The 23210-nt window shown below is 58.1% G+C and overlaps 1 protein-coding gene across 4 annotated transcripts, besides 4 other annotated features; it reads left to right on the top strand.

Annotated features, from left to right (window-relative positions):
* On the top strand, positions 552–22175 carry PDGFB (platelet derived growth factor subunit B). Of its 4 annotated transcripts, none has more exons than NM_002608.4 (7): positions 552–1633; positions 9660–9756; positions 12010–12099; positions 13707–13912; positions 15306–15450; positions 19687–19839; positions 20221–22175. In NM_002608.4, exons 1-6 carry the CDS (start codon positions 1571–1573, stop codon positions 19809–19811), a joined length of 726 nt encoding a protein of 241 aa, NP_002599.1. In that variant the 5' UTR covers positions 552–1570; the 3' UTR covers positions 19812–19839; positions 20221–22175. The 4 variants fall into 4 exon arrangements, with proteins under 4 accessions (NP_002599.1, XP_047297350.1, XP_047297349.1 ...); XM_047441394.1 differs by having other exon boundaries at positions 1599–2608; XM_047441393.1 differs by lacking the exon at positions 552–1633 and adding an exon at positions 4407–4521.
* Positions 2418–2497: a silencer, noted in NCBI's record as "silent region_13747". NCBI's record gives its function as "represses an Ori minimal core promoter by ATAC-STARR-seq in GM12878 lymphoblastoid cells {active_cell/tissue: GM12878}" and the evidence as "EXISTENCE:reporter gene assay evidence [ECO:0000049][PMID:35858748]".
* Positions 4363–4622: an enhancer, noted in NCBI's record as "active region_19036". NCBI's record gives its function as "activates an Ori minimal core promoter by ATAC-STARR-seq in GM12878 lymphoblastoid cells {active_cell/tissue: GM12878}" and the evidence as "EXISTENCE:reporter gene assay evidence [ECO:0000049][PMID:35858748]".
* Positions 7420–8314: an enhancer, noted in NCBI's record as "H3K4me1 hESC enhancer chr22:39633225-39634119 (GRCh37/hg19 assembly coordinates)". NCBI's record gives its function as "activates a minimal SCP1, AML or CMV promoter by ChIP-STARR-seq in naive H9 embryonic stem cells {active_cell/tissue: H9 hESC(naive)}" and the evidence as "EXISTENCE:reporter gene assay evidence [ECO:0000049][PMID:30033119]".
* Positions 8315–9209: an enhancer, noted in NCBI's record as "H3K4me1 hESC enhancer chr22:39632330-39633224 (GRCh37/hg19 assembly coordinates)". NCBI's record gives its function as "activates a minimal SCP1, AML or CMV promoter by ChIP-STARR-seq in naive H9 embryonic stem cells {active_cell/tissue: H9 hESC(naive)}" and the evidence as "EXISTENCE:reporter gene assay evidence [ECO:0000049][PMID:30033119]".

Raw genomic sequence — 23210 nt, 5'->3', positions numbered from 1 at the left:
CCGGGTTCTGTGGGTTCACCTTGCGGTGTCTTCCCTTGCTAACACTGAGTCCTTACAATAGCCCCATCTCCAGGTTGAGGCTAGATGGAGGGGACAGAGGGAAGTGACTTGCCCAAGGTGACCCAAGCTCCCGAGTGCCAGGGCAGGATCTGAATTCAGGCTCTCAGACTGCAGAGCCTGAGTCCCTCCCTGCCATGCCTGTGCCAGGGTGGAAATGTCTGGTCCTGGAGGGGAGCGTGGACTCCTGGCCTTGGCTCTGGAGACATCCCCCTAGACCACGTGGGCTCCTAACCTGTCCATGGTCACTGTGCTGAGGGGCGGGACGGTGGGTCACCCCTAGTTCTTTTTTCCCCAGGGCCAGATTCATGGACTGAAGGGTTGCTCGGCTCTCAGAGACCCCCTAAGCGCCCCGCCCTGGCCCCAAGCCCTCCCCCAGCTCCCGCGTCCCCCCCCTCCTGGCGCTGACTCCGGGCCAGAAGAGGAAAGGCTGTCTCCACCCACCTCTCGCACTCTCCCTTCTCCTTTATAAAGGCCGGAACAGCTGAAAGGGTGGCAACTTCTCCTCCTGCAGCCGGGAGCGGCCTGCCTGCCTCCCTGCGCACCCGCAGCCTCCCCCGCTGCCTCCCTAGGGCTCCCCTCCGGCCGCCAGCGCCCATTTTTCATTCCCTAGATAGAGATACTTTGCGCGCACACACATACATACGCGCGCAAAAAGGAAAAAAAAAAAAAAAAGCCCACCCTCCAGCCTCGCTGCAAAGAGAAAACCGGAGCAGCCGCAGCTCGCAGCTCGCAGCTCGCAGCCCGCAGCCCGCAGAGGACGCCCAGAGCGGCGAGCGGGCGGGCAGACGGACCGACGGACTCGCGCCGCGTCCACCTGTCGGCCGGGCCCAGCCGAGCGCGCAGCGGGCACGCCGCGCGCGCGGAGCAGCCGTGCCCGCCGCCCGGGCCCCGCGCCAGGGCGCACACGCTCCCGCCCCCCTACCCGGCCCGGGCGGGAGTTTGCACCTCTCCCTGCCCGGGTGCTCGAGCTGCCGTTGCAAAGCCAACTTTGGAAAAAGTTTTTTGGGGGAGACTTGGGCCTTGAGGTGCCCAGCTCCGCGCTTTCCGATTTTGGGGGCCTTTCCAGAAAATGTTGCAAAAAAGCTAAGCCGGCGGGCAGAGGAAAACGCCTGTAGCCGGCGAGTGAAGACGAACCATCGACTGCCGTGTTCCTTTTCCTCTTGGAGGTTGGAGTCCCCTGGGCGCCCCCACACGGCTAGACGCCTCGGCTGGTTCGCGACGCAGCCCCCCGGCCGTGGATGCTCACTCGGGCTCGGGATCCGCCCAGGTAGCGGCCTCGGACCCAGGTCCTGCGCCCAGGTCCTCCCCTGCCCCCCAGCGACGGAGCCGGGGCCGGGGGCGGCGGCGCCCGGGGGCCATGCGGGTGAGCCGCGGCTGCAGAGGCCTGAGCGCCTGATCGCCGCGGACCCGAGCCGAGCCCACCCCCCTCCCCAGCCCCCCACCCTGGCCGCGGGGGCGGCGCGCTCGATCTACGCGTCCGGGGCCCCGCGGGGCCGGGCCCGGAGTCGGCATGAATCGCTGCTGGGCGCTCTTCCTGTCTCTCTGCTGCTACCTGCGTCTGGTCAGCGCCGAGGTGAGTTGCCACGGCGGCTGGGGCTGGTTCTTCATTCATTACCTTCGCCCCCCCCTTCTGACCGCCCCCTCCTCTCCCTGCAGTGAACTTTGGACCCTTGCAGCCCGCGAGCCTGACGCCGGGCGCTGGGTGACCTCTTCGGGCTGGGAGCGAGGTCCGGGGGTGACAGGCTCTAAGGGAAGGCAACAGCGGTGGCTTTCTTTCCAACCGGCGGGCGAATCTGGCTCCCTAAGCCGTTCCGTGTCGGGGGAGGGTGTGTGTGGCCCTGTCCCCCACCCTTTGGGAACCCGAGAACAAGCCCCTTCCCGGCCGGGGGAGAGGGGGTGGGGTGGTGCCCAGGGTGCAGAAGGCAGCGCGTCCTCCCGAGCCCACTTCGGCGCCAGCCTCGGCTTAGGCTCTGTCCTGCCATCGGCTTGCCCAGGAGGTGCAAGCTTGCGCACCGGTGCCATCCACGCCGACCTTTGACGGGGCTCGGGTCCCACCCTGGCTCCCGGTCGGGGTCCGGGTGGACGCCCTCCGGCACGCGCAGGGCATGCCCGGCCCCAGAGCACGGTCTGGAAGCAGCTTGTGTCTCGGGCGCGGGGTTTGGGGTGGGAGTAACAGGGAGAGAGAGAGAGAGAGAGAGAAAGAGAGAGAGAGAGAGAGAGACGGAGAGAGAGACGGAGAGAGAGAGGGAGAGAAAGATAGAGACGCAGGTAGGTTTCGGGCACTCGGGTAGGGGGAGGACTAGGGGCTCTGAAGGAATCCAGCCCCCGGGGCGCTGTGTGCCTGAGGCCTTGCCGTACCTGTGCCCGCGCCCTGCAGGAGGAAGCACCTCTCTCCCCCGCATGCAGGGTGCGGAGCGCGCCGCCTGCAAAAGCCTAGCTGCACGGGAGATGGGGTATAAAAACATCTGAGGGAGCGCTGGGGTCGGAGCCGTCCCCACCCCTCCCAGCCTCACGTAGCCGTGAGTTGGCAAGTCTACCCGGAATCCAGGTGGGAAAGGGGGCGGGGCAGGACGACGCGCGCGGTGGAGGGGAGGAGAGGGCAGCCGGGAGCGCGGCGTGACTGGGTACCGTCCCACCTCCGCCCGGCTGCGGCCGGGAGTCCGCACCTCGCCCGCACCTCGCCGGCTCCCGGGGAGGGTCGGCCCCTGCGGCCTCCAGCCAGGCGCAGGAAGGAGGCAGCGGCGGCGAAGGGGTTAAGGCGGAGGGCTCGGAGGCCGCGGCCCGGCCTTGGGCTGCCGCCAGCGCAGGTTGTTTTGACCACGGAGGAGCCGTCGCCGTCTCCTTTTGTTCTCGGGGCTCCTCGAGGGCCGCAGGCCGCCCGCCCGGGGGCCCCGCCCTTCCGCGGCCGCCCCCCGCGGCCCGCACCCGGGAGGGAGGACGCGGGGCTCGGCCGGGCCGCCTTCAGGCCCCTCCCGACGCCCCCTCTCCGCCTCTCCCGCAGCCCCCCGGGCCGCGGCCAGCTGTTGGGGAGGGGGTGGCCGGCCGGCCCCAGCTGCCGCCTCGCCTCGCCGTGGGACCTGGGGGCTGGGCCCGGTGCCAGGGCGTCCTGGGAACGGCGGCGCCCCGTGGCTGCTCTCCGCAGCCCACCCCGCCCGGGCCCCCGACTCGCTCACTCACCCCACGCATGCACACTCCTGGCCGGAGGCGATGCTGCGCTCCGGCGGGCGGGCGCGCAGAGCGACGGGCACGCACTACCGCGGCCAGGTCGCGCGCCCGCCTCTGCCACGCCCGTGCACACGCGGGACACACGCGCGCGCACCGCACACAAACGCACGCACGGCCCCTGCACGCGCGGCCTGAGCACACGTGCGCGCACACCCACGCACGTACACAGGCACGCACGGGCCCCCGTGCACCCAGCGCCTGGTGCTCGCCCCCGCGCAACAGGTGGGCCCTCCGTGGGCCCTGGCACCTCACCACCTCTGTAGCGGCCCCATTTCCTTCCTGGCGTCCTGTGAGGGAGGGAGAACCTCCCATCAGCACCACAGCACCTACTTTTTTTTTTGCCTCGTCAGCCCGACGCCCCTCAAACCTTACCCATCTGTGACTCCTTTTTTTCAACCACCTCCGCGTGGTGGAAAATGGTGGTGATGTGACTCTGAGGGGCACTGAGCTGTCCAGAGCGATTCCCCCTTCACATAAGCCTTCATTTGAACCTGCAAGACTGGAGGGACCTGGCGTGTGCAACCGCGGAGGGGGCTCCCACCCCTGGCTGTTGCATTCTCTTGGCTGATCCCAGCGTGCCCCGGGGAGGCCGCTGACAGCTGGATGTTTCCCCAGCCTCCCCTTACCATTTCCAGCTTCGTCCAGCACCTCCTCCTTCTTTCCCACAGCTCCACGGGCTCGTGTATCTGGGGTGGAGGCTGTGGCACAGAAACTGCCTTTCTCCTCACTTTAGTCACAGCATTCTTGAACACATGGCCACAGGCGCGATGTATGTGGCACTTTGCAGTTTATGAAGCACTTTGCTGCTAAGCCTGAGTGAGCCTCAGGCTGGCCCTGGGGGAGGGGACCTGCATGGGGATGGAACCACGCAGGGGTCAGTCCAGGAAGGAGCTGTAATGGCCAGTGCTGGGAGAGTCAGGGCAGGCCTGCTGGTGGAGGTGGCCTTGGAGCTGTCCACGTCCTGGTCGTGCTCGGACTAATCTTTCAGCAGACGGCAGGCAGCCGTGAGGCAGGGCTGGGTGGAGGGCCTGCCGAGGCCTCTGAGGTGCCATCTCCACCAGCTGAGCTGGCTTCCAGGAGGGCGAGTCCCACTGTCACGTGACGCGTCTGGCCTCAGCACACTTCTTCCGGGAAAGAGTGAAGGGCCCCACTGCCCTTTGCCATCCAGCTTCCTCTGGCTTTGCTAATGGCCCTAGGGGGCAGGAGACCAACTGCTGGAATCCCAGAGCCCTGGAGGTGTGCAAGGGCAGGTCAAACAGAATTTGGAGGATCTGGTGCAAGAGCCAGGAAGAGAGAGAGAGAGAGAGTGTGTGTGTGTGTGTGTGTGCGCATCTGAGAGAGAGAGAGAGAGAGACTGACTGAGCAGGAATGGTGAGATGTTTATCATGGGCCTCGTAAGTACCTCTCCACGTCTTGTCTTCCCCTCCCCACATTGAGGAGCCTCTTCTGTGACAACTCTTCCTATGTTCTGGTTTATTTCATTGTTTATTACCTGCTTTCTCTACTGGAGTGTCAACCCCATTAGAGAGCTTTCCTCCTGGTCCCCACTTTTAGAACAGTGCCCAGAGCCCTGTGGACAATCAGTAACTATTAGTGCAAAGAACAGTTAGTGCTGGGTTGGTGGGGAGGGCAGGACCTGGCCCCCTGTTGCTCCATGGCCCCACTGAGTCCTCGCTTTGCTCTGCTCCGAGGGCAGCCCCCCTTTTCAGCCCTCTGGTAGGCATCAGTCTTTCAAAGCCCCCCATCTTGAGAGAGAAGCATGTCTGTCTCTCCTCTGTCTTGGGACTTGGGCTACCAGGATTAGACAGGACAGAGGAGAAGAAACAGAAAGAAAATCAGACTGCAAAGGTTCTGTGTATCTTTAGCTGGGGCTAAGTTTCTGCCACCTAAAAAAAAAAAGAGAGAGAGAAGATTGGATTAGTGCAGAGTTCCCAAAGAATGGCAGAATCCCCTGGCCCCGTCCCCTGGCTGGGATGGGGATGGGCAGTGATTGCCGTGGTTGCCAGTATTATAAATGGCTGGACTGGTTCCTCTCTTCCTGCTTTAATTTTCCTCTGCTCCTGCAAGAGGTGGGGAGGCCAGGGTTCTGGGCCCACGTGAAGGAGCAGAGGCTGAGCGGGAGGGTCCCAAGAGCAATAAAGAAGGGGAATGCTAGGTGGGAAACACTGGTTCTAATGGCTTCTGTGGTTTGCCCCGAGAGGGCTTCTTCAAAGGGGTTGGTTGGCTTTGGCATTCGATCTAAATAAGGCCTGCGACTCTCAGGCAGGCAGGCTCTGGGAGGCCTCATCAGCTTCTTCCTCTGCCAGCCACAGACAACGCCCCTGGTTGCTTGGGCCTGTGTGTCCCTTGGTGGGAATGGCAGGCGGGCCGGGGAGTGTGTATCTGTGTGTGTGTGCTGGGCCCAGGAGGAGGGTGGGGTTCAAGCCCCTTTGATCTGCCAGCCTGGTTGGGAGCAGATCACTCACCTGGCCTCACGCTCGCTCGTGCCCTTCCTACCTGCTGCAGCTGGCGCTGGGGGCGGGGTCGGAGGAGGCTGTTTACCTTGGCTCCCACGGCTGGCTTTGCCCCAGCTGCCTCCTCGCCACGCCCTCACTCTGCCAGAAACCCCGGGCCTGAGATCTTGGGACAGCTTCTTCAGGGTGCCAGGCCTCCTTTCCCATCTCTGAAGTGAGCTGTCCACCTGGAGGCCTGCGGAACCTGTGCCCAGGAAAACCAGGCTCCGGGCGGCTCACCTTCCCATACCAAGAAGAGCCTGTGACTCCCAACAGGTGCTCATGCTCGTCATCCCCAGAGCATTGCATCCTGGAGCTGAGCACGTGCTGAGTGTCCCCCCACCCTCACCCACCCCCAGCCCCGGAAGGGCCTTGTAAGCCCACACGGCCCAGGCTCTGCCAGTGTGGAGGTAGGGTACCATTTCCTGTGGCCCAGCACAAGGGATAATGCAAAGTCACGCACTCTTTCATGGGCAGGCAGCTCTCCACCCACTCCTTGTCATCCTCAAAAATGTCCTGTGCTGCTGGCCCTGAGCACGTGTGCCACTCGCTGCTGCCCACAAAGGAGCCATCCGGAAAGAATTAATGATGATGACAGTGACAACTCATTAAGCTCCCATTATCTGCTGGCAGCTCTGCTCTGTGCAATTATGCCTCCCAGTAACCCCGGGCGAGGTATTATTAGCCCCATTTAAAAGATGCAGAAGCCGAGGTTTTAGATTGTGACAAGATTCCAAGAATCCAGGTTGCCCTGGCATCTGGAGCCCTTGCTCTTTCCTCCGCTACAGGGTTTCTCAGCCTCTGCACTCCTGATGTTTGGGAAGGCCGTCCTGTGCCCTGAAGGGTGGTGAGCGGCATCCCCGGCCTCCCCCAACTTAAGATGCAGTGCACACCCCAAGTTGTGGCCACCAGCGATGCCTTCATACATTGCCACTGTCCCCTGGGGGCCCACTGGGCCCTGGTTGAGAGCCTCTGACGTGGGACATGCTGCAGAGTAAAGAGCCAACACGAACCTTGTGTGATGCTGAGGGCCAGTGGCCTTAGAACACAGGAGAGGGAGGCTGAGACGCCCCATGGTGGGCTGGAACAGGTGGGCAGTCTGGAGCCTGGGAACGACCCAGCTCTGCCACTTGCTAATTGTCTGGACCTGTTGCTGCTTGTTTAATTTTTTCTAAGCTTCAGTGTTCTCATCTGGAGGATGGGGATACAAATACTGCCAGCCTCTTAGGATTGGTAGTTTATACGGTGTTTTTCTCAGCGTGTGGCTTGTAGCTGGCATTCATAGATGTTAGTTGTGGTATTATTACCAAATCCGGGGGCTTATGGGTAGTTCTGGGCATCTAGTGGCCACATTACCAAAAGCATCTTCAGGGACGGTCTCCCTGCTCAGATTAAAAGGGACTCTAGTTGCTCATTTGCCTAGGGTTGGGGAAGAATATCCCAGGTGGCCCTCCTGGTGGAGGAGGCAGAAGAATCATACTGGACAGAACCTGGAAAATGGTAGACTCCTTCATGCATTTGACCAGTATTTACCGAGGACCTACTATGTGCCTCTCTCTCCTCCTCAGACCCTATCCTGGGCTCTTTCACACTCAGCCTTGGAGGGGCATCTCCTATGTGTCGTGGGCCTGGATCTGGGGTGTCCACTCGGCCTGTTCAGGGGTCTGCCTCCTCTGCCGTGGCTGGCAGCTGCAGCCGGCTCTCCAGTGGGCAGGGAGATCTTGGCACAAGCACTAAATGCCATTTGCTACTAGGCCTTTGGGCCCCTCCCCTGGGGGGTTAATTGAATCTTTACTCCACAAACGCTTCTTGTTCTCCTTCTGCCAGTGATCCAGGGAGGCCTGGCTAGGCACCCGGCTTTGGCGTTTTCTCTGCCCCTTCTAACGCCTCCTGGCAGAATTAGAATTGAATCGAATGTTCTTCAAGCCCCTCGATTCACAGATGAGAGCCAGGACCATAGGGGCAGTGACCAGCCGAGGTCACACGGCAGTTGGTCCAAAGGCGTGGGATTCAGCTCTCTGGCCTGCCAGTTCTGGGTTTGACAGAACTCTCAGGGGAAGCGGCTTTCGCTGGTGTTCACTGGAGACCAAGCCCTCTGTTCTGTGGGTTGGGTACTTTGTCAACATTTGGAGAGCACCGGAGGCGTGGTCTCTCTTCTGAGGTGGAAAGAATGAACTTGCTTGAGGGCGGGAGGAGGCAGAGCCCGGAGGAGATGGGGCCGAAAGTGAGGGGCAGCGGGGCCCATACCCTCCTCTGTCTTGCACGTGCAGCCCCTGGCTGCCCGGATATTGAAGGAAAGACCCTAGTTCTCAGCCAAGCCCTGCCACCTTTTTTTCCTCAAGTTGCCCAGCAGCCCTTAGACATTGGGCGGAGTTGTAAGCTCCATGTTCAAACAAAGACATGGAGACTCAGGGGTTTCAGGGAATGATGTAGCTTTAAAAGTGGTCACCCCCACCCCCCGCCCTGAGTCTTCTGGCTCCTGGATCGATGTGGGTGGCCAGAGTTGGTCATGGATGAACCCCTGGAGGTGTTGCTAGACCTCATGATAAGCTGGAGGAAACAGAGCTTTCGGGGAGAGCCCCCTGAGGCTGGCCACAGGGCTGAGACGACCTCTTCTCCTCTCCCTCGCTCCCCCTCCGCCGTCAGGCAGCGAGAAAGCAGCATCCCTTTTGTGAAGGTAGCCTGCACCGACCCCCTCTGAGCCCCCCGACCTTCGGCTCCGGGAATGTGGAGCGAACCAAGAAGGGAAGTCCTCCCTTCTTAATCCAGGGAAACTGAGGCAGAAAATAGTTTAACCCAAGGTTCTATAGTAATGTGCCAAGCCTATTGATGCCCTCTCCAGGACTGTCTGTCCAGACCGTGCAGCCCGAGTGCCTGTGCCTGCACGTGTGTGTTTGCACACGTGGAAGTCCGGTTCCAGCCTTTGAACGTGCAGCGACATCTTAGGAATTTTCTTTGCTTCTCAGTGGCTGGTGGTCTGGATTGTGATTCTCAGTCTCCCATCTGCCCTCGCCTCTTTCTTGGGATCTCTGGCATCCGCCCCTTGGGTCTCCTGGGACTGTGGGGGACGTGGCTGTGACCTTCCTACGGGGCTGCTCTTGTGTCATTGTGGGACCTGCGGTTTCCCTGGAGGAAGCCCAGCTCCGAATGAGGCCTGTTGAAGTGTTATCAGGTTTCGAGTATGTTTGGCAACAGGCCAAAGGGGCTCTAAAAATAGGGTTTGGTTGGGCACAGGGCACGGGTAAGCTTTCAGGTTTCCCGGCCGTGTCCGAGGATTCCCTTTTCGCCTCTTTCGAGTGAGAGACTTCATAGATACCGCTAGGACCTGGGGCCTCCTGAGGCCATCGCACTCTGCACGCGTTTATTAAGCACCTCTTGTACCCAGGAGCCTGGGAGTACAGGCTCTGTCATCCCAAAGGCATGGGTTTGAATGCAGCTTTTGCCAATAATTGAGCCTCTCTTTGAACGTTTGTTTTCCCCTCTGTAAAATGGGGGTTAGATTGGCCATGGGAGATGCTGGCTGTCTTCAGCTGTCAGGTGTGTTGTGAGACTCAGGGAGAAATCAGATTTTGGTGCATTCCCAGAACATGTAGTTTGGTGGGGGAGACAGACATAGAGACAAGCAGGTCCAACTCAAAGCAAGCTGGGGTTCCTGTTGGGGGTTGAGGGTGCAGGGACTGAGCTGGGTCTCAGAGGCTTCGGCAGGTCCAGGCCCCGAGGCCTTTGTGCTCCTGATCATCAGGCCTGGATCCTGCCTGTCCGTCTCCCTGTGACCTTGGAGCTTTCCACAGGAGAAAGCGAGAAAGCGTGTGGTGGGGGAGACAGCCATGCTGGAAAGCCCCCACTCCCAGCTCACTCAGCCTTTTGGTGTCTGCCCGGCAGGGGGACCCCATTCCCGAGGAGCTTTATGAGATGCTGAGTGACCACTCGATCCGCTCCTTTGATGATCTCCAACGCCTGCTGCACGGAGACCCCGGAGGTAAATGGAATCCTCGCCCCGCGCTCCGGCCCTCCGAGGAGACTTTAAGAGATCTGGGAGGGGCAGGACAGGAGGCATCCCTCCTTCTTGACGTCTGGAGAACTAGAGGCCCATGGCAGCCCAGAGAGAGCGTGGCCACACCCATCCAGGGCAGGGCCGAGTCAGCAGGCGGGTTGGTACCTGGGACTTGGGGTGTGGCAGGAGAAGCACCCACGTGTGGCTCCGGCTTGGTGCCAAGGGTGGGGTGCCAGGAGGAGGGAGGGCGGGGAGAAGGTGCCCAGGGCATCTGCCGAGTATGTCTCCAGGTGTGGGCCCAGCCAGGGAGGGTGGCACTGGAGGAGTCATCTCCCCGCCCCTCTGGCTAGGGGCCCGGTCTGTGAGGTCCCCTGGGGACACCTGGCCTCGACCAGCAGGCAGCCCTGCCCGTGCCCCAGAGCTCACTCAGCGAATGGGCACGTGCTCGGTGGCACACACGTGGCGGGGCTGGCGGGCTGGATTGACAATGTATTTATAAACGCTGTCTTCAGAGCAAATTCCATTCTATTCTAACCTCTGGCCTGTTCCCTGGAGCCCTGGTCAGCAGCCCCCCTGCACCCCCAGGTCCCCTTCCCTCTGGGGTTCTGTCTCTTTGTCACTTTGTAATCCTTGCCCAGACGCTATCTACGGGGGAACAGCATTTCCTGCCTTTGTTTCCTCTCCCCGTTGGGCCCCTGGCTCCCTCTCAAAAGCATTCCCGGGCCCTTTCAATCCCGCCTGTGCTGGGGGGCGGTGAGGCAGGCAGGAGGGGGCCCCAGCTGGGCCCACCTATTGTTCGCCAGGGCCCCCACCCGATGTCTCCCACAACCCCCACCCTATGCCCGACTGGCCGCCCCTGGCCACACACAATGGGGCAACTTCCAAATTTAGCCTTTCTACCATTTCTTTCCAAGCCTTTACACCCCCACCCTCAGACGGCCCCTCCACACCCCTGGTGGGGGTCGGGATCTTGGAGATGAGGTTTCAATAGCAGGCCTGTTTCAAGGCAACCATGTGGCTATTTTTTCCTAATCAACTTAACCTTTCCACAAAGCGCATCTTTTCCCCATCTCCTCCCCACCAGGGACATTCCAGAGATGGCAGGGAGAAAGGAAAGGAGCCAGAGGGACAGATAGGCTCGTTGACGTAGGGGCTGTCAGGCTGGACGGAAGCGGACTAGTCATCAGACTCCCTGCAGTACCCGGGACGGACAGGCGGCAGGCGCCTTTGTCTTGGATGGGGCCAGTGGGTCGGTGCCAGAACTGGAGCCATGGGGTGCTGTGTGGAGGTGGCAGGAGCGTGTTCCCAATGCCCCTTAGTTTATTTGTGGCTCCTCACCCATGAGAGAGACAGAAGGGTCTGTCCACGCCTTAACATCCAGCTCAGAGGCCTCCCTCAGCCCTCACTTCCCAGCAGCCAACCTCTGGCCATGGGCTCTGGAAAGGACCGATGTCTCCAAGGAGGGCTGATGGGACTGAGATGGTGCCCAGGCTAGAAAAGGGAGCTGTCATTTGTGACCAGAGGAATCAACAGACGGCTGGGGGCAGAGGTGGGGCAACAGTTTAGAGAAGGGGAGGGAGACAGACACAGATACAGATACGGTGTGAGGGCCCCGGAGCTAGAGAGACCAGGCCCTAGAAGGGTGTGTGGCAGGGACTCCCCACCCCCAGCAGGCCCAACTCCCACCCCTCTTCTCCTCTTCTCTGTCTTCAGCTCCCACCCCCATCCCTCTCCCTCCCTCCCTCCCTCCGTGGCTCCCGCCTGCCCAGCGCGGCCATTGTCCGGGGCTCCAGAGGGGCTGTGTTCAGGGCATGCGGTCCCCCTGGGGCTTCTGGGAATTTCTCCATTCAGCACTTCCTATGGGAACGCTGGGTGGAGGGGCACTGGAAACTGGCCTTCAGTGCCCTAGGTCCCGGCCCCGCCCTGGAGGCCGAGGAGGGTTCACTTACAGTAGCAAAGGGGAAGGGTTATTTTTAACTCCACTGACATGGGTTCTGGCCAAAAATGTTGGCTAAAGAGCCAGGGATGCAGTCAGGATCCTGGGCCTGCAGCTGTCCTGGGGGCTGCTTGGAGGGTCCCTGCTCAGGGCCAGGACCCGTGCATTTATGGGGGCTGGAAGGAGGGACTGTTCTCTGGAGTGGGGGAGAGGCAAACCTCCCGCCTGCCCAGACACCCCGGCGGAGGGAGCCCCTGCCCAAGGTGGGGCCGCCTGGTGTCTGACTGTGACTTCTCCTGCAGAGGAAGATGGGGCCGAGTTGGACCTGAACATGACCCGCTCCCACTCTGGAGGCGAGCTGGAGAGCTTGGCTCGTGGAAGAAGGAGCCTGGGTAAGACTGAGACACCCAACAAGGGTCCTTCAAATTAGCATGGGGGCCAGGGAAAGAGAACGGGGGCGGGCAGCCAGTCGGAGGGCCCCGAGGGTCCTCTTACAACTCCCGTTCCCCCCACATTCAGGACTGAGCGAACTGAGAGAGTAAAACCATCCTTAAATGCCTGTGTTCAGTCATCACAGCCCCTCGCCCCCACACTCTCTGGTTTCTAAATATAGTGCTGCAAAGCTCATTCGTTCCTTATTTCAATCCTGGAGGTAGATATTATTAACCCCATTTCACAGAGTTGGAAACTGGGGCCCAGAGAGGGTAAAGAACTAGGCGAGGTCACACTGCTAGGGAGCGGTAGGGCTGAGATCCCAACCTGCTCCCCTCACTTGAACCCAGCGTGGTCCCTGATGGGCTATGGGTATCTCCTGTGGCAAAGGGCCGCGGCCTAGGCTGGTAGACCTCGAGCAAAGCCTGGAACTTCCTCCTGCTCCCTTGCAGAGACCTAAAGGAGACCGTAGATCATTAGGTCCCAGAGAAACCCTCCCAGGTGAGGCAAATGTCCACTCAAACCCCTCCTCCTCTTTGACACCTGGAGTCCCCAAAACACTGCAGTTAGAGGCTGGGGGAACGATGAATAAGAGTCAGGTGGCCTGGGCCGGGCATGGTGGCTCACGCCTGTAATCCTAGCACTTTGGGAGGCTGAGGCAGGCAGATCACGAGGTCAAGAGATGGAGATCATCCTGACCGACATGGTGAAACCCTGTCTCTATTAAAAATACAAAAATTAGCTGGGCGTGGTGGCAGGTTCCTGTAGTCCATGCTACTTGGGAGGCTGAGGCAGGAGAATTGCTTGAACCAGGGAGGCGGAGGTTGCAGTTAGCCGAGACCACGCCACTGCACTCCAGCCTGGCGACAGAGCAAGACTCCGTCTCAAAAAAAAAGAAAAAAGTCAGGTGGCCTGAGTTCCACCCCCAATCTATGAATGTGGGCGGACGGGATATTCAGCTCTCAGAGCCTCCTGTCCTCTGTACATGGATAGCATCGGTAACCTCAGTGCTTGCTGTAGGCAAGGCTTACTCACTTTACACCTTAGATCCACATGGGAGGGAGGTGCTGTTATTATCCCATTTCATAGAGGAGGAAGCTGAGGCTTTGAAAGCAGCAGTGATGCAGGAATCCAAGGCACCGTGAGACAGCAGTGCACGCGTGGTTTCGAGCTAATATGGTACCTGCATAAAAACCACATGTTGGGCAAGCCCATAAATGTGTAAAATCATAAAGAAGAATAAAATAGTCATGTGCCAGCAGAGGGAAGCGGACATTTACTAAGCATTTACAACATGCCCCACACTCTGAATTTTCTCACTTGAAACTACAGTGGTTCTTGGGTGTAGATCTCATGGTCCCATTTTCAGATGGGGAAACACAGGCTTAGAGTGGCTCAGCCATCTGCCCAAGTCCCATGGCTAATGACAGCCAGGACTTGAAACCTGAACCCTGGGGTTGAAGGGCGTGAGAAAGAGCAGTCCCGGAGGCACCCGCTGAGCTCCCCTGCCAAGTGGGGGGACTCTGGACAGGCCTACGCTCCTGACCCAGGTTTCGTCTCCTCCCAGGTTCCCTGACCATTGCTGAGCCGGCCATGATCGCCGAGTGCAAGACGCGCACCGAGGTGTTCGAGATCTCCCGGCGCCTCATAGACCGCACCAACGCCAACTTCCTGGTGTGGCCGCCCTGTGTGGAGGTGCAGCGCTGCTCCGGCTGCTGCAACAACCGCAACGTGCAGTGCCGCCCCACCCAGGTGCAGCTGCGACCTGTCCAGGTGCGTAGGCTCCGCGGCCCCCCGAGGCTGGTCCCGGTGGTGGGTGGAGACCACCCTTCTGGGGCTCATACCTGACCAGGCTTCCTTGACTGGGCAGAGTGGTGTGTCGAAGGACATTCCTGATTTGTTCCTGGGCTCTGTCCAGAGAGGCCCACTCTTGGGAAGCTCTTCCTAGGCAGGTGGACTGAGGCCGACCATGAGTCCTCTGAGGTGGCTCAGGCCACTGTAGCCAAAAGCCACAGACAGACCCCCCGGGCTGGGCGAGGTGTGGAGCCAACGTGAAGTAGGGATGTCACCTCCTTTACAAGGACAAAATCGCAAAACGTCCCTTGAAGAGCCGTATCCGCAAACATTTATCTGACACTCAGAATGTTTTGGGGAGCTACTCAGGTTCCCCCAAAGCTCTCCCTATTCAGGGCTGTCTTGAGAAAGGCTCAGATGGGTGGCCCTGCATCTTTGACACCTGCTTGTCTCTCTTTGACAAGCTGTGTCTTTAATAAAGAGAGTGCAGAGAGGCCCACCAGGTGATAGACACTGCGGAGCTGGGGCAGGTCCCCTGACAACAGTGGAATGCTGATCCTGCTTTTCTTCGGAGGGACGGGGGATACATACACTGGACTCAGGGAAAATTCTAGAGTAGAGGCTGTCTCAGGGAGCACCCTGGTCTCACCCTAGTCGGGGCAGAGTCAGAGAAGCTGCTGCTTCTGCTTCTTGTGGAAAGATTCCTGCACGCCCCAGGCCAGCCTCGCCCACAGGCTGGGCAGTGCGCATTTCTCTAGCTCAGCACCGGCCCTTGCCCGATGCTCTGCCTGCTTAGCCGCACTTCCTTCTCCTGCCACCAGCCCGTGGCCTCTCCTCCTGCCCACCTTCCCTCCCTGGCTTGGGCCCCACGCCTGAGACTACGAATGTCACTCCACCCCACTGCCCACTCTCGTGGTATCTCCTGTCCTCGATGCTTCCAGCTCTATGGATGGACACCTGACATCTGACCTCCCCGTTCCCACCTCCCTCCTAGATGAAGCCTCCCCCCACTTCCTTCCAGACAACCATCTCCCGCCTCTGCCGCAGCCCTGACCTTGGCTGGCGCTCCGGGAATGAGGATACCGCAGGCCCCAGCTCAACCCGGAAATGCCTTTCTGGCTGTCCCTCTCTGGGGGCACTGAGGGGGGCCCCAGGTCGGGAGGGCTTGTTTTGATGGAAAAGCTACGAGAAGGGCAGAGGTCAAGGTCCTGCTATTGTTTGGGCCAAAGCTTTTGCCCCACAGCCTGCTCTCCGGGCTTTCGAGGAAAGATTGCTGCAGGGGACACCGGGGTGGGAAGCGCAAGCCATTCGGGCTTCCCGGGCTCCTGGCTGTGTGGTCTCTACAGAGGCATTTTGTGGCTCTGTCCTCCAGGTGAGAAAGATCGAGATTGTGCGGAAGAAGCCAATCTTTAAGAAGGCCACGGTGACGCTGGAAGACCACCTGGCATGCAAGTGTGAGACAGTGGCAGCTGCACGGCCTGTGACCCGAAGCCCGGGGGGTTCCCAGGAGCAGCGAGGTAACCACCTTTCCAGGCTCAGCCCTCAGCCCCCTTCCCCTGCAGCAGCTGGGGGCAGGGGCCGGTCTTAAAAATGGAAATGGGATCAGGCCCGCCCCCGGTTAAATTCACGGGAGGCTTTCTTTTCATCTTGCTGAGACACAAGCCAGGTTCCTCCCTGGCCTGAGAGCCCTACATGAGGATTAGCCCCTGGCTGGCTCTCTGGTCTCTGCCAACCAGTACCCTTCACCTGTGCCACCCCCGCCGGGCAGGCCTCTTTCAGTAACTAATGGAGTTTCTGCCTCAAGGCTTTAGCACACACTGCTGTGGCTGAAGAACACTTCTCCCAGCTCTCCACAAGCCTAGCTCCTTCTCTTCATTAGAGTCTCAGCTCAGAAGTCACCTCCTCCTAGAAGTCTGCCCTGACCACCCCATCCAGAGCAGCGCCATTTCCAGTCTTGCTACCATAGCCCCCTGCTTTGTTGGATGTGGGGATGGGATGGTGGAAGGAATCTGGGCCTGGATGAGAGAAAGCTCCGCGCACATCAACTTCCGATAGTGAGCAGCTTGTCCTGGGGATGAGAAATCAAACGAATTTCTCGTATCCTTGAGCGGGGGAACCAGGACCAGTGGGGAGAAGCCACTGGAGAGAGATTTCAGCTCCATATGCAGAACAGCTAGCTGGTGATCAGTCAGGGGTGCAAGGTGGAATTGGCAGCATTGTGAGGCATCTCTACAAAAAATACAAAAATTAGCCAGGCATAGCGGCACACGCCTGTAGTCTCAGCTACTTAGGAGGCTGAGGTGGGAGGATCGCTTGAGGCTGGGATGTCGAGGCTACAGTGAGCCGTGATGGCACCACTGCACTCCAGCCTGGGCAACAGAGCAAGACCCTGCCTCAAAAAAAAAATGATTAATACGATTAGATGAGCGTTTAAAAAAATCACGTAAGTGATAGTTCTTTTTCAGTAACTTTCTATTGTTAGGGACAGGACAATCTTTTCATTCTCATTTCTTATTAACAAGACCCTGAAGACGGAGCCATTTCTTGGCATCTGTGTCTTATTCCCAGAGCTGAGCTGAGTCGCTGGATGCCATGGAAAGGCTGATCATATGACAGCTTCAAACTGACATGTTGTAAATTATTGAGTTAATATGGAGGGTGATTTCTCTATTAAGGGAAAATTATATATATCTATATATATATATATTTTTTTTGAGGCAGTCTCACCCTGTCACGCAGTCTGGAGTACAGTGGCACAATCTTGGCTCACTGCAACCTCTACCTCCTGGGTTCAAGCAATTCTCCCGCCTTAGCCTCCCGAGTAGCTGGAATTACAGACACATGCCACTACACCCGGCTAATTTTTGTATTTTTAGTAGAAACGGGGTTTCACCATGTTGGCCAGGCTGGTCTTGAACTCCTGACCTCAAGTGATCCACCTGCCTCGGCCTCCCAAAGTGCTGGGATTACAGGCGTGAGCCACCACGCCCAGCCTCTTTCTTTTTTAAGAGACAGGGTCTCTCTCCATCACCCAGGCTGGAGTGCAATGGCATGATCATAGCTCACTGCAGCCTTGAACTCCTTCCTGGGCTCAAGCGAGCCTCCCTCCTCAGCCTCCTGAGTAGCTGGGATTACAGGCATGTGCCACCACGTCCAGCTAATATTTTAAGTTTTTGTAGAGATGAGGTCTTGATTCGTTGCTCAGGCTGGTCTCTAACTCCTGGGTTCAAGTGATCCTCCCACCTCAGCCTCCCAAGGTGCTGGGATTACAGGCATTGAGCCACCACGCCTGGCCTTCTTTATGTTTAGAGTGAGTTACTTCATGTATTTGTTTGACGTAATTTTCTAAACCAGTTTCTTGGGAGGCGCATTATACCAGTGAAACGTAGATGATGTAAAGTCCCATCATTTTAGTTCCGGTATTTTGGTTGAGTATGACGGTGTTTCTGTCACCTGTCCATGGGCCTGGCTAAGGCTTGGTAGTGTGGCTCTCTGTGATAATGTGGTCAGTGTCAGACCTCCTGGGCTCAGATCTGCGTGTTGTCACTTGAGCTGTGTGGTGACCTTGTGCTTGCCTGGGCTTGGTATAGCCCAGTGTCCTGCTGATGGCCCAGGCTCTGGGGAAGAAACTCCCTGGGCCCTTCAGTGGCCCTCCTGGTGTCTTCTGTCTGAGGGGATCTGAAGCCCATTCAAGTCCCTGAACTGCTAGAAAATCTGCGCAATTGCAGAGATGGGAGAGCTGCCTCGTGGGAGCTGGTGTCTGTAAGGTGGGAGGTCAGGTGTCAGATCCCGGTAGGCTGGGAGAGCTCAAAAGGCTCCCAGGAAATGGCTGGCCTTGAGCTCAGCAGACACAGCTGTCCCTGCCAGGGTGGCCACCTGGGAATCCAGGACGGAGAGAAGTGTATAAGAGCTCCCCTTGACTGAGGCTCACAGGCACTGTCGTTTGTGCTGAGTGGTTGGAGGTGTGCACTCTAGAGGCAGATCCCTGAGTTCAAATCCCAGTCTCTCTGCTTCAGTTTCCTCATCTGTAAAGTGTGGGTAACAGCATCTGCCGGTAACAGCACCTGCCGTGAAGGGAAATGAGCATAGAACAGCACCAGGTACATGGTAAACACTAGCTGGGGGGTTTCTGGCCATTTCCATGTATTGTCTCCTAACGCTAGGAGGCCAGGGCTGCTGTCTTCTCTGCTTTAAAGATGTGGAAATCGGCTGGGCGTGGTGGCTCACGCCTGTAATCCCAGCACTTTGGGAGGCCAAGGCAGGTGGATCACTTGAGGTCAGGAGTTCAAGACCAGCCTGGCCAACATGGTGAAACCCCATCTCTACTAAAAATACAAAAATTAACCAGGTGTCATGGCGTATGCCTGTAATCCCAGCACTTTGGGAGGCCAAGGCAGGTGGATCACTTGAGGTCAGGAGTTCAAGACCAGCCTGGCCAACATGGTGAAACCCCATCTCTACTAAAAATACAAAAATTAACCAGGTGTCATGGTGCATGCCTGTAATCCCAGCTACTCGGGAGGCTGAGGCAGGAGAATCACTTGAACCTGCGAGGTGGAGGTTGCAGTGAGCTGAGATCGCGCCACTGCACTCCAACCTGGGCAACAGAGTGAGCCTCCATCTTAAAAACAAATAAATAAAGATGCGGAAATCGAGGCACAGGGCAGTTAAGTGACTTGCTCCAATGTCCACGATACGTGGGAGAGCCCAGATTTGAGCCCAGGTGGGTCAGATCCTCAGCCTGAGTTGTGGCCCATCCCACTCTACCATTTCTCAGAGTGGCAAGGGGCAGGTAGGTGACAGGCACAACTGACCCGAAGGCCCAGCTTCATGGTGGGAGTATGATTCTGGCCCAGAGCCCAGTGGCCTCCACACCACGTGATCGGACGGGGCTGAGAGGTTGGGAGGAAACCTCAATAGTAGGTCAAGCTAAGGAAAATAAGAAAAAAAAGTGAGTCGTAGCAGCTGCCATGTGCTGACCACTTCATACTTGGAGCTTTTTATTATCTTTCCCAGGTCTGGGGGTTGACTGGGCTCAGCTGGGCAGTTCTATTGGCCCCTCTATTGGTTGCAGTCAGCTGGTGGCCTGGGCTGTGGTCATCTGGAGACTCAACGGGGACAGCTGGGCCTCTTTTCCTCTCCCTGTAGTCCAGGGCCTCTGGCTCTACGGGGAGAGCCAGTCCCCACCAGGCCTCTCCATGTGGCCTCTCCAGCAAGGTAGCCAGACCTGTTATGTGGCAGCCCAGGGTCCCCCAAAGCATGAAGGTGAGAACTGCCAGCCCTTCTTAAGACCTCTGCCTGGAACTGGCACGGCACCACGTCTGCCTCTTGTTGGTTAACCAGATCCAACTCCAGGCCAGATTCAAGGGGCAGGGAAATAAACTCTATTGGTCAGTGGGCAATGACAAAGAACTTGAAGCCATATTTAATCTACCCGGCTCTGTGTCCAGTACTGTGCAAAGAGCTTTGCCAGCATACTGTCATTTATTCCTCCCACCAGTTCTATGAGGTGGGCAGTCTTATTACCCCCATTCCACAGATGGAGGCGCCAAGGCTCAGAGAGTTTCAGTCATTGTCCCCAAGGCACATACAGCTGGTGAGCAGTGGAGTTGGGATCCAAACCCAGGACCCTGGTCCAGATTCCCCTCCTGTCCCTTTCCTGAGCCCAGAAGGTCCATGGCAGGCCTTGGTCAGTGGGGAGAGACCTCCCCAATGGTCCACATGCTGACGAGGTCTTTCTTTTTCTTGTGCAGCCAAAACGCCCCAAACTCGGGTGACCATTCGGACGGTGCGAGTCCGCCGGCCCCCCAAGGGCAAGCACCGGAAATTCAAGCACACGCATGACAAGACGGCACTGAAGGAGACCCTTGGAGCCTAGGGGCATCGGCAGGAGAGTGTGTGGGCAGGTGAGGGCCAGGCGGGGCAACTGAGGCCCAGAATCCTGTGTTTTCTTCTCTGTGGTCTGTGGATGGGGTCAGGGGAAAGGATTTTTCCATAGAAAATCCAGCCTCTGAGCCTTGGTCCTCCCTGTCCAGTTATCAGCTGGGGCAGGGTGGGTGGTGGGCTTTGGAGACCCCAGCCCAGCTGTGTCCCAGCATGCCCTAAGAGGATGGGAGGTCTAAATCTCAATCTTCCCAGCCCCTCAATGCCCCCAGCCCTGAGCATTGCTGGAAATCAGGGGTGGCTAGTTGACCCCAGCTCCCTGCCCCTGGCATCGGGGACATATGAACATGGGATGGACCCTCTAGGCTGTCTCTGACCCCTGTGTCTCTCTGCTTGGCCTGCAGGGTTATTTAATATGGTATTTGCTGTATTGCCCCCATGGGGTCCTTGGAGTGATAATATTGTTTCCCTCGTCCGTCTGTCTCGATGCCTGATTCGGACGGCCAATGGTGCTTCCCCCACCCCTCCACGTGTCCGTCCACCCTTCCATCAGCGGGTCTCCTCCCAGCGGCCTCCGGCGTCTTGCCCAGCAGCTCAAGAAGAAAAAGAAGGACTGAACTCCATCGCCATCTTCTTCCCTTAACTCCAAGAACTTGGGATAAGAGTGTGAGAGAGACTGATGGGGTCGCTCTTTGGGGGAAACGGGCTCCTTCCCCTGCACCTGGCCTGGGCCACACCTGAGCGCTGTGGACTGTCCTGAGGAGCCCTGAGGACCTCTCAGCATAGCCTGCCTGATCCCTGAACCCCTGGCCAGCTCTGAGGGGAGGCACCTCCAGGCAGGCCAGGCTGCCTCGGACTCCATGGCTAAGACCACAGACGGGCACACAGACTGGAGAAAACCCCTCCCACGGTGCCCAAACACCAGTCACCTCGTCTCCCTGGTGCCTCTGTGCACAGTGGCTTCTTTTCGTTTTCGTTTTGAAGACGTGGACTCCTCTTGGTGGGTGTGGCCAGCACACCAAGTGGCTGGGTGCCCTCTCAGGTGGGTTAGAGATGGAGTTTGCTGTTGAGGTGGCTGTAGATGGTGACCTGGGTATCCCCTGCCTCCTGCCACCCCTTCCTCCCCACACTCCACTCTGATTCACCTCTTCCTCTGGTTCCTTTCATCTCTCTACCTCCACCCTGCATTTTCCTCTTGTCCTGGCCCTTCAGTCTGCTCCACCAAGGGGCTCTTGAACCCCTTATTAAGGCCCCAGATGATCCCAGTCACTCCTCTCTAGGGCAGAAGACTAGAGGCCAGGGCAGCAAGGGACCTGCTCATCATATTCCAACCCAGCCACGACTGCCATGTAAGGTTGTGCAGGGTGTGTACTGCACAAGGACATTGTATGCAGGGAGCACTGTTCACATCATAGATAAAGCTGATTTGTATATTTATTATGACAATTTCTGGCAGATGTAGGTAAAGAGGAAAAGGATCCTTTTCCTAATTCACACAAAGACTCCTTGTGGACTGGCTGTGCCCCTGATGCAGCCTGTGGCTTGGAGTGGCCAAATAGGAGGGAGACTGTGGTAGGGGCAGGGAGGCAACACTGCTGTCCACATGACCTCCATTTCCCAAAGTCCTCTGCTCCAGCAACTGCCCTTCCAGGTGGGTGTGGGACACCTGGGAGAAGGTCTCCAAGGGAGGGTGCAGCCCTCTTGCCCGCACCCCTCCCTGCTTGCACACTTCCCCATCTTTGATCCTTCTGAGCTCCACCTCTGGTGGCTCCTCCTAGGAAACCAGCTCGTGGGCTGGGAATGGGGGAGAGAAGGGAAAAGATCCCCAAGACCCCCTGGGGTGGGATCTGAGCTCCCACCTCCCTTCCCACCTACTGCACTTTCCCCCTTCCCGCCTTCCAAAACCTGCTTCCTTCAGTTTGTAAAGTCGGTGATTATATTTTTGGGGGCTTTCCTTTTATTTTTTAAATGTAAAATTTATTTATATTCCGTATTTAAAGTTGTAAAAAAAAATAACCACAAAACAAAACCAAATGAATCCGCCGGAGGTCTGTCTGTTGGCATCGTGCGTGACAATTAACCTTTCTGCCTTGGCAGGATGTGCCGACAGCTTGCGGCGTGTTCCTCTCACTCTGGGAGCCTCAGGCGTGATCTCACACACTGGCGTGCACATACACACACACACACATACATGCTCACACATGCGTGCACATACACGCAGGCCTGCAACTTGGGGGAGGCCTCTGTCTGGCGGGAAGAAGAGACACACAGGCTACTCTGTTGGTCTTGGTCCTGGCACAGCTCCTGACACGTGGACTTGTGCGTGTCTCTGGCAGTGACGAGAGATGGGTTTCTGCAGCCTGAGGGTCTCCATAGAGGAAGTGGATCCTCAGCATCGTGGGGTGGGCTGGATGTGGGGAGGGAGTGCCCACTGTGGGGAACACTGAAGGAAGTCCCAGAGGGGATGTGGGATTTAGAAGGAAACAGTGGAAAGCCGGGTCTGCGGTCTGGTCTTGGCTTAGCCCTTAGCCAGCTGTGTGGCCTTGGGCAAGTCACAGACCCACTCTGGCCAGAGAGGATGAGGAAAGGTGCGTGGGCTCCAAGCTCCTGTGTTCTGCGCTTTCTCTTGCTCATGAAGACTTGGGTACCAGCCCATAAAAAAGAGGCTAAATGTATTCTAGGTCCCACCTGCAGCGTGGACTGGGGCTGAGAGGGACCCAGAAGCTAAAGATCTGGCTCATAAGGGCAATCTAAAACTAAAACCATTTTGCCACCTGAAGTAGTGAGCTCCCTGTCACTGGAAGTGTGTAAGCGAAAACTGGGGAACAATGTGGCTGAGGTTAGACTGAATAACATTTGGGCTCCCAGCAATTGATTGATCAATGGACTGATTCATTCCTTCACTCACTCACTTTCTTGAACCTCTGACATGTGCCTGTCACGGCCAGGAGATTTTATAGTCATTTGATTTGAATTCATCCTGGGGTTCCTAGCCCTGCCCTTGAGGAAGTAGAGTCTACCCATGGTGGTAGTGGGCCGTGCACATCAGAGGGATCTGTTTACCTGGCAGCTCCTACCCCTGCCTGCCCAATCGTGACTGGGGCCTTCCCTTCTCCCCTAAATCCCCAGTGTTCTCAGTTTCCAGGGCACAGGAGAAGGATCTGGCTGGGAGGAGGAAGAGACAACTCCACCAGGAGACGGACATCAGAAGTCAGCTGGAGAGCCCAGTGCGTGCAGCATCCTGGCAGCTACCAACAGCTGGTCTGTGCCATGGATTGCTGCAGGCACTTCCGAGGCCTGGGTGCCCATTTCCTGGGTGCCATCCCATACAGCAGCGCAGCAGAGTCCGTGGGCCTTCCAGGGGCCCGGTGGGCTTTTTCAAGGTCTTAATGTT

The sequence above is a fragment of the Homo sapiens genome, chromosome 22 (genome assembly GCF_000001405.40).
Source record: "Homo sapiens chromosome 22, GRCh38.p14 Primary Assembly".
Taxonomy (NCBI): domain Eukaryota; kingdom Metazoa; phylum Chordata; class Mammalia; order Primates; family Hominidae; genus Homo; species Homo sapiens.
The sequence above is the reverse complement of the archived record's forward strand: the minus strand, read 5'-3'. Positions and strand labels throughout refer to the sequence as shown.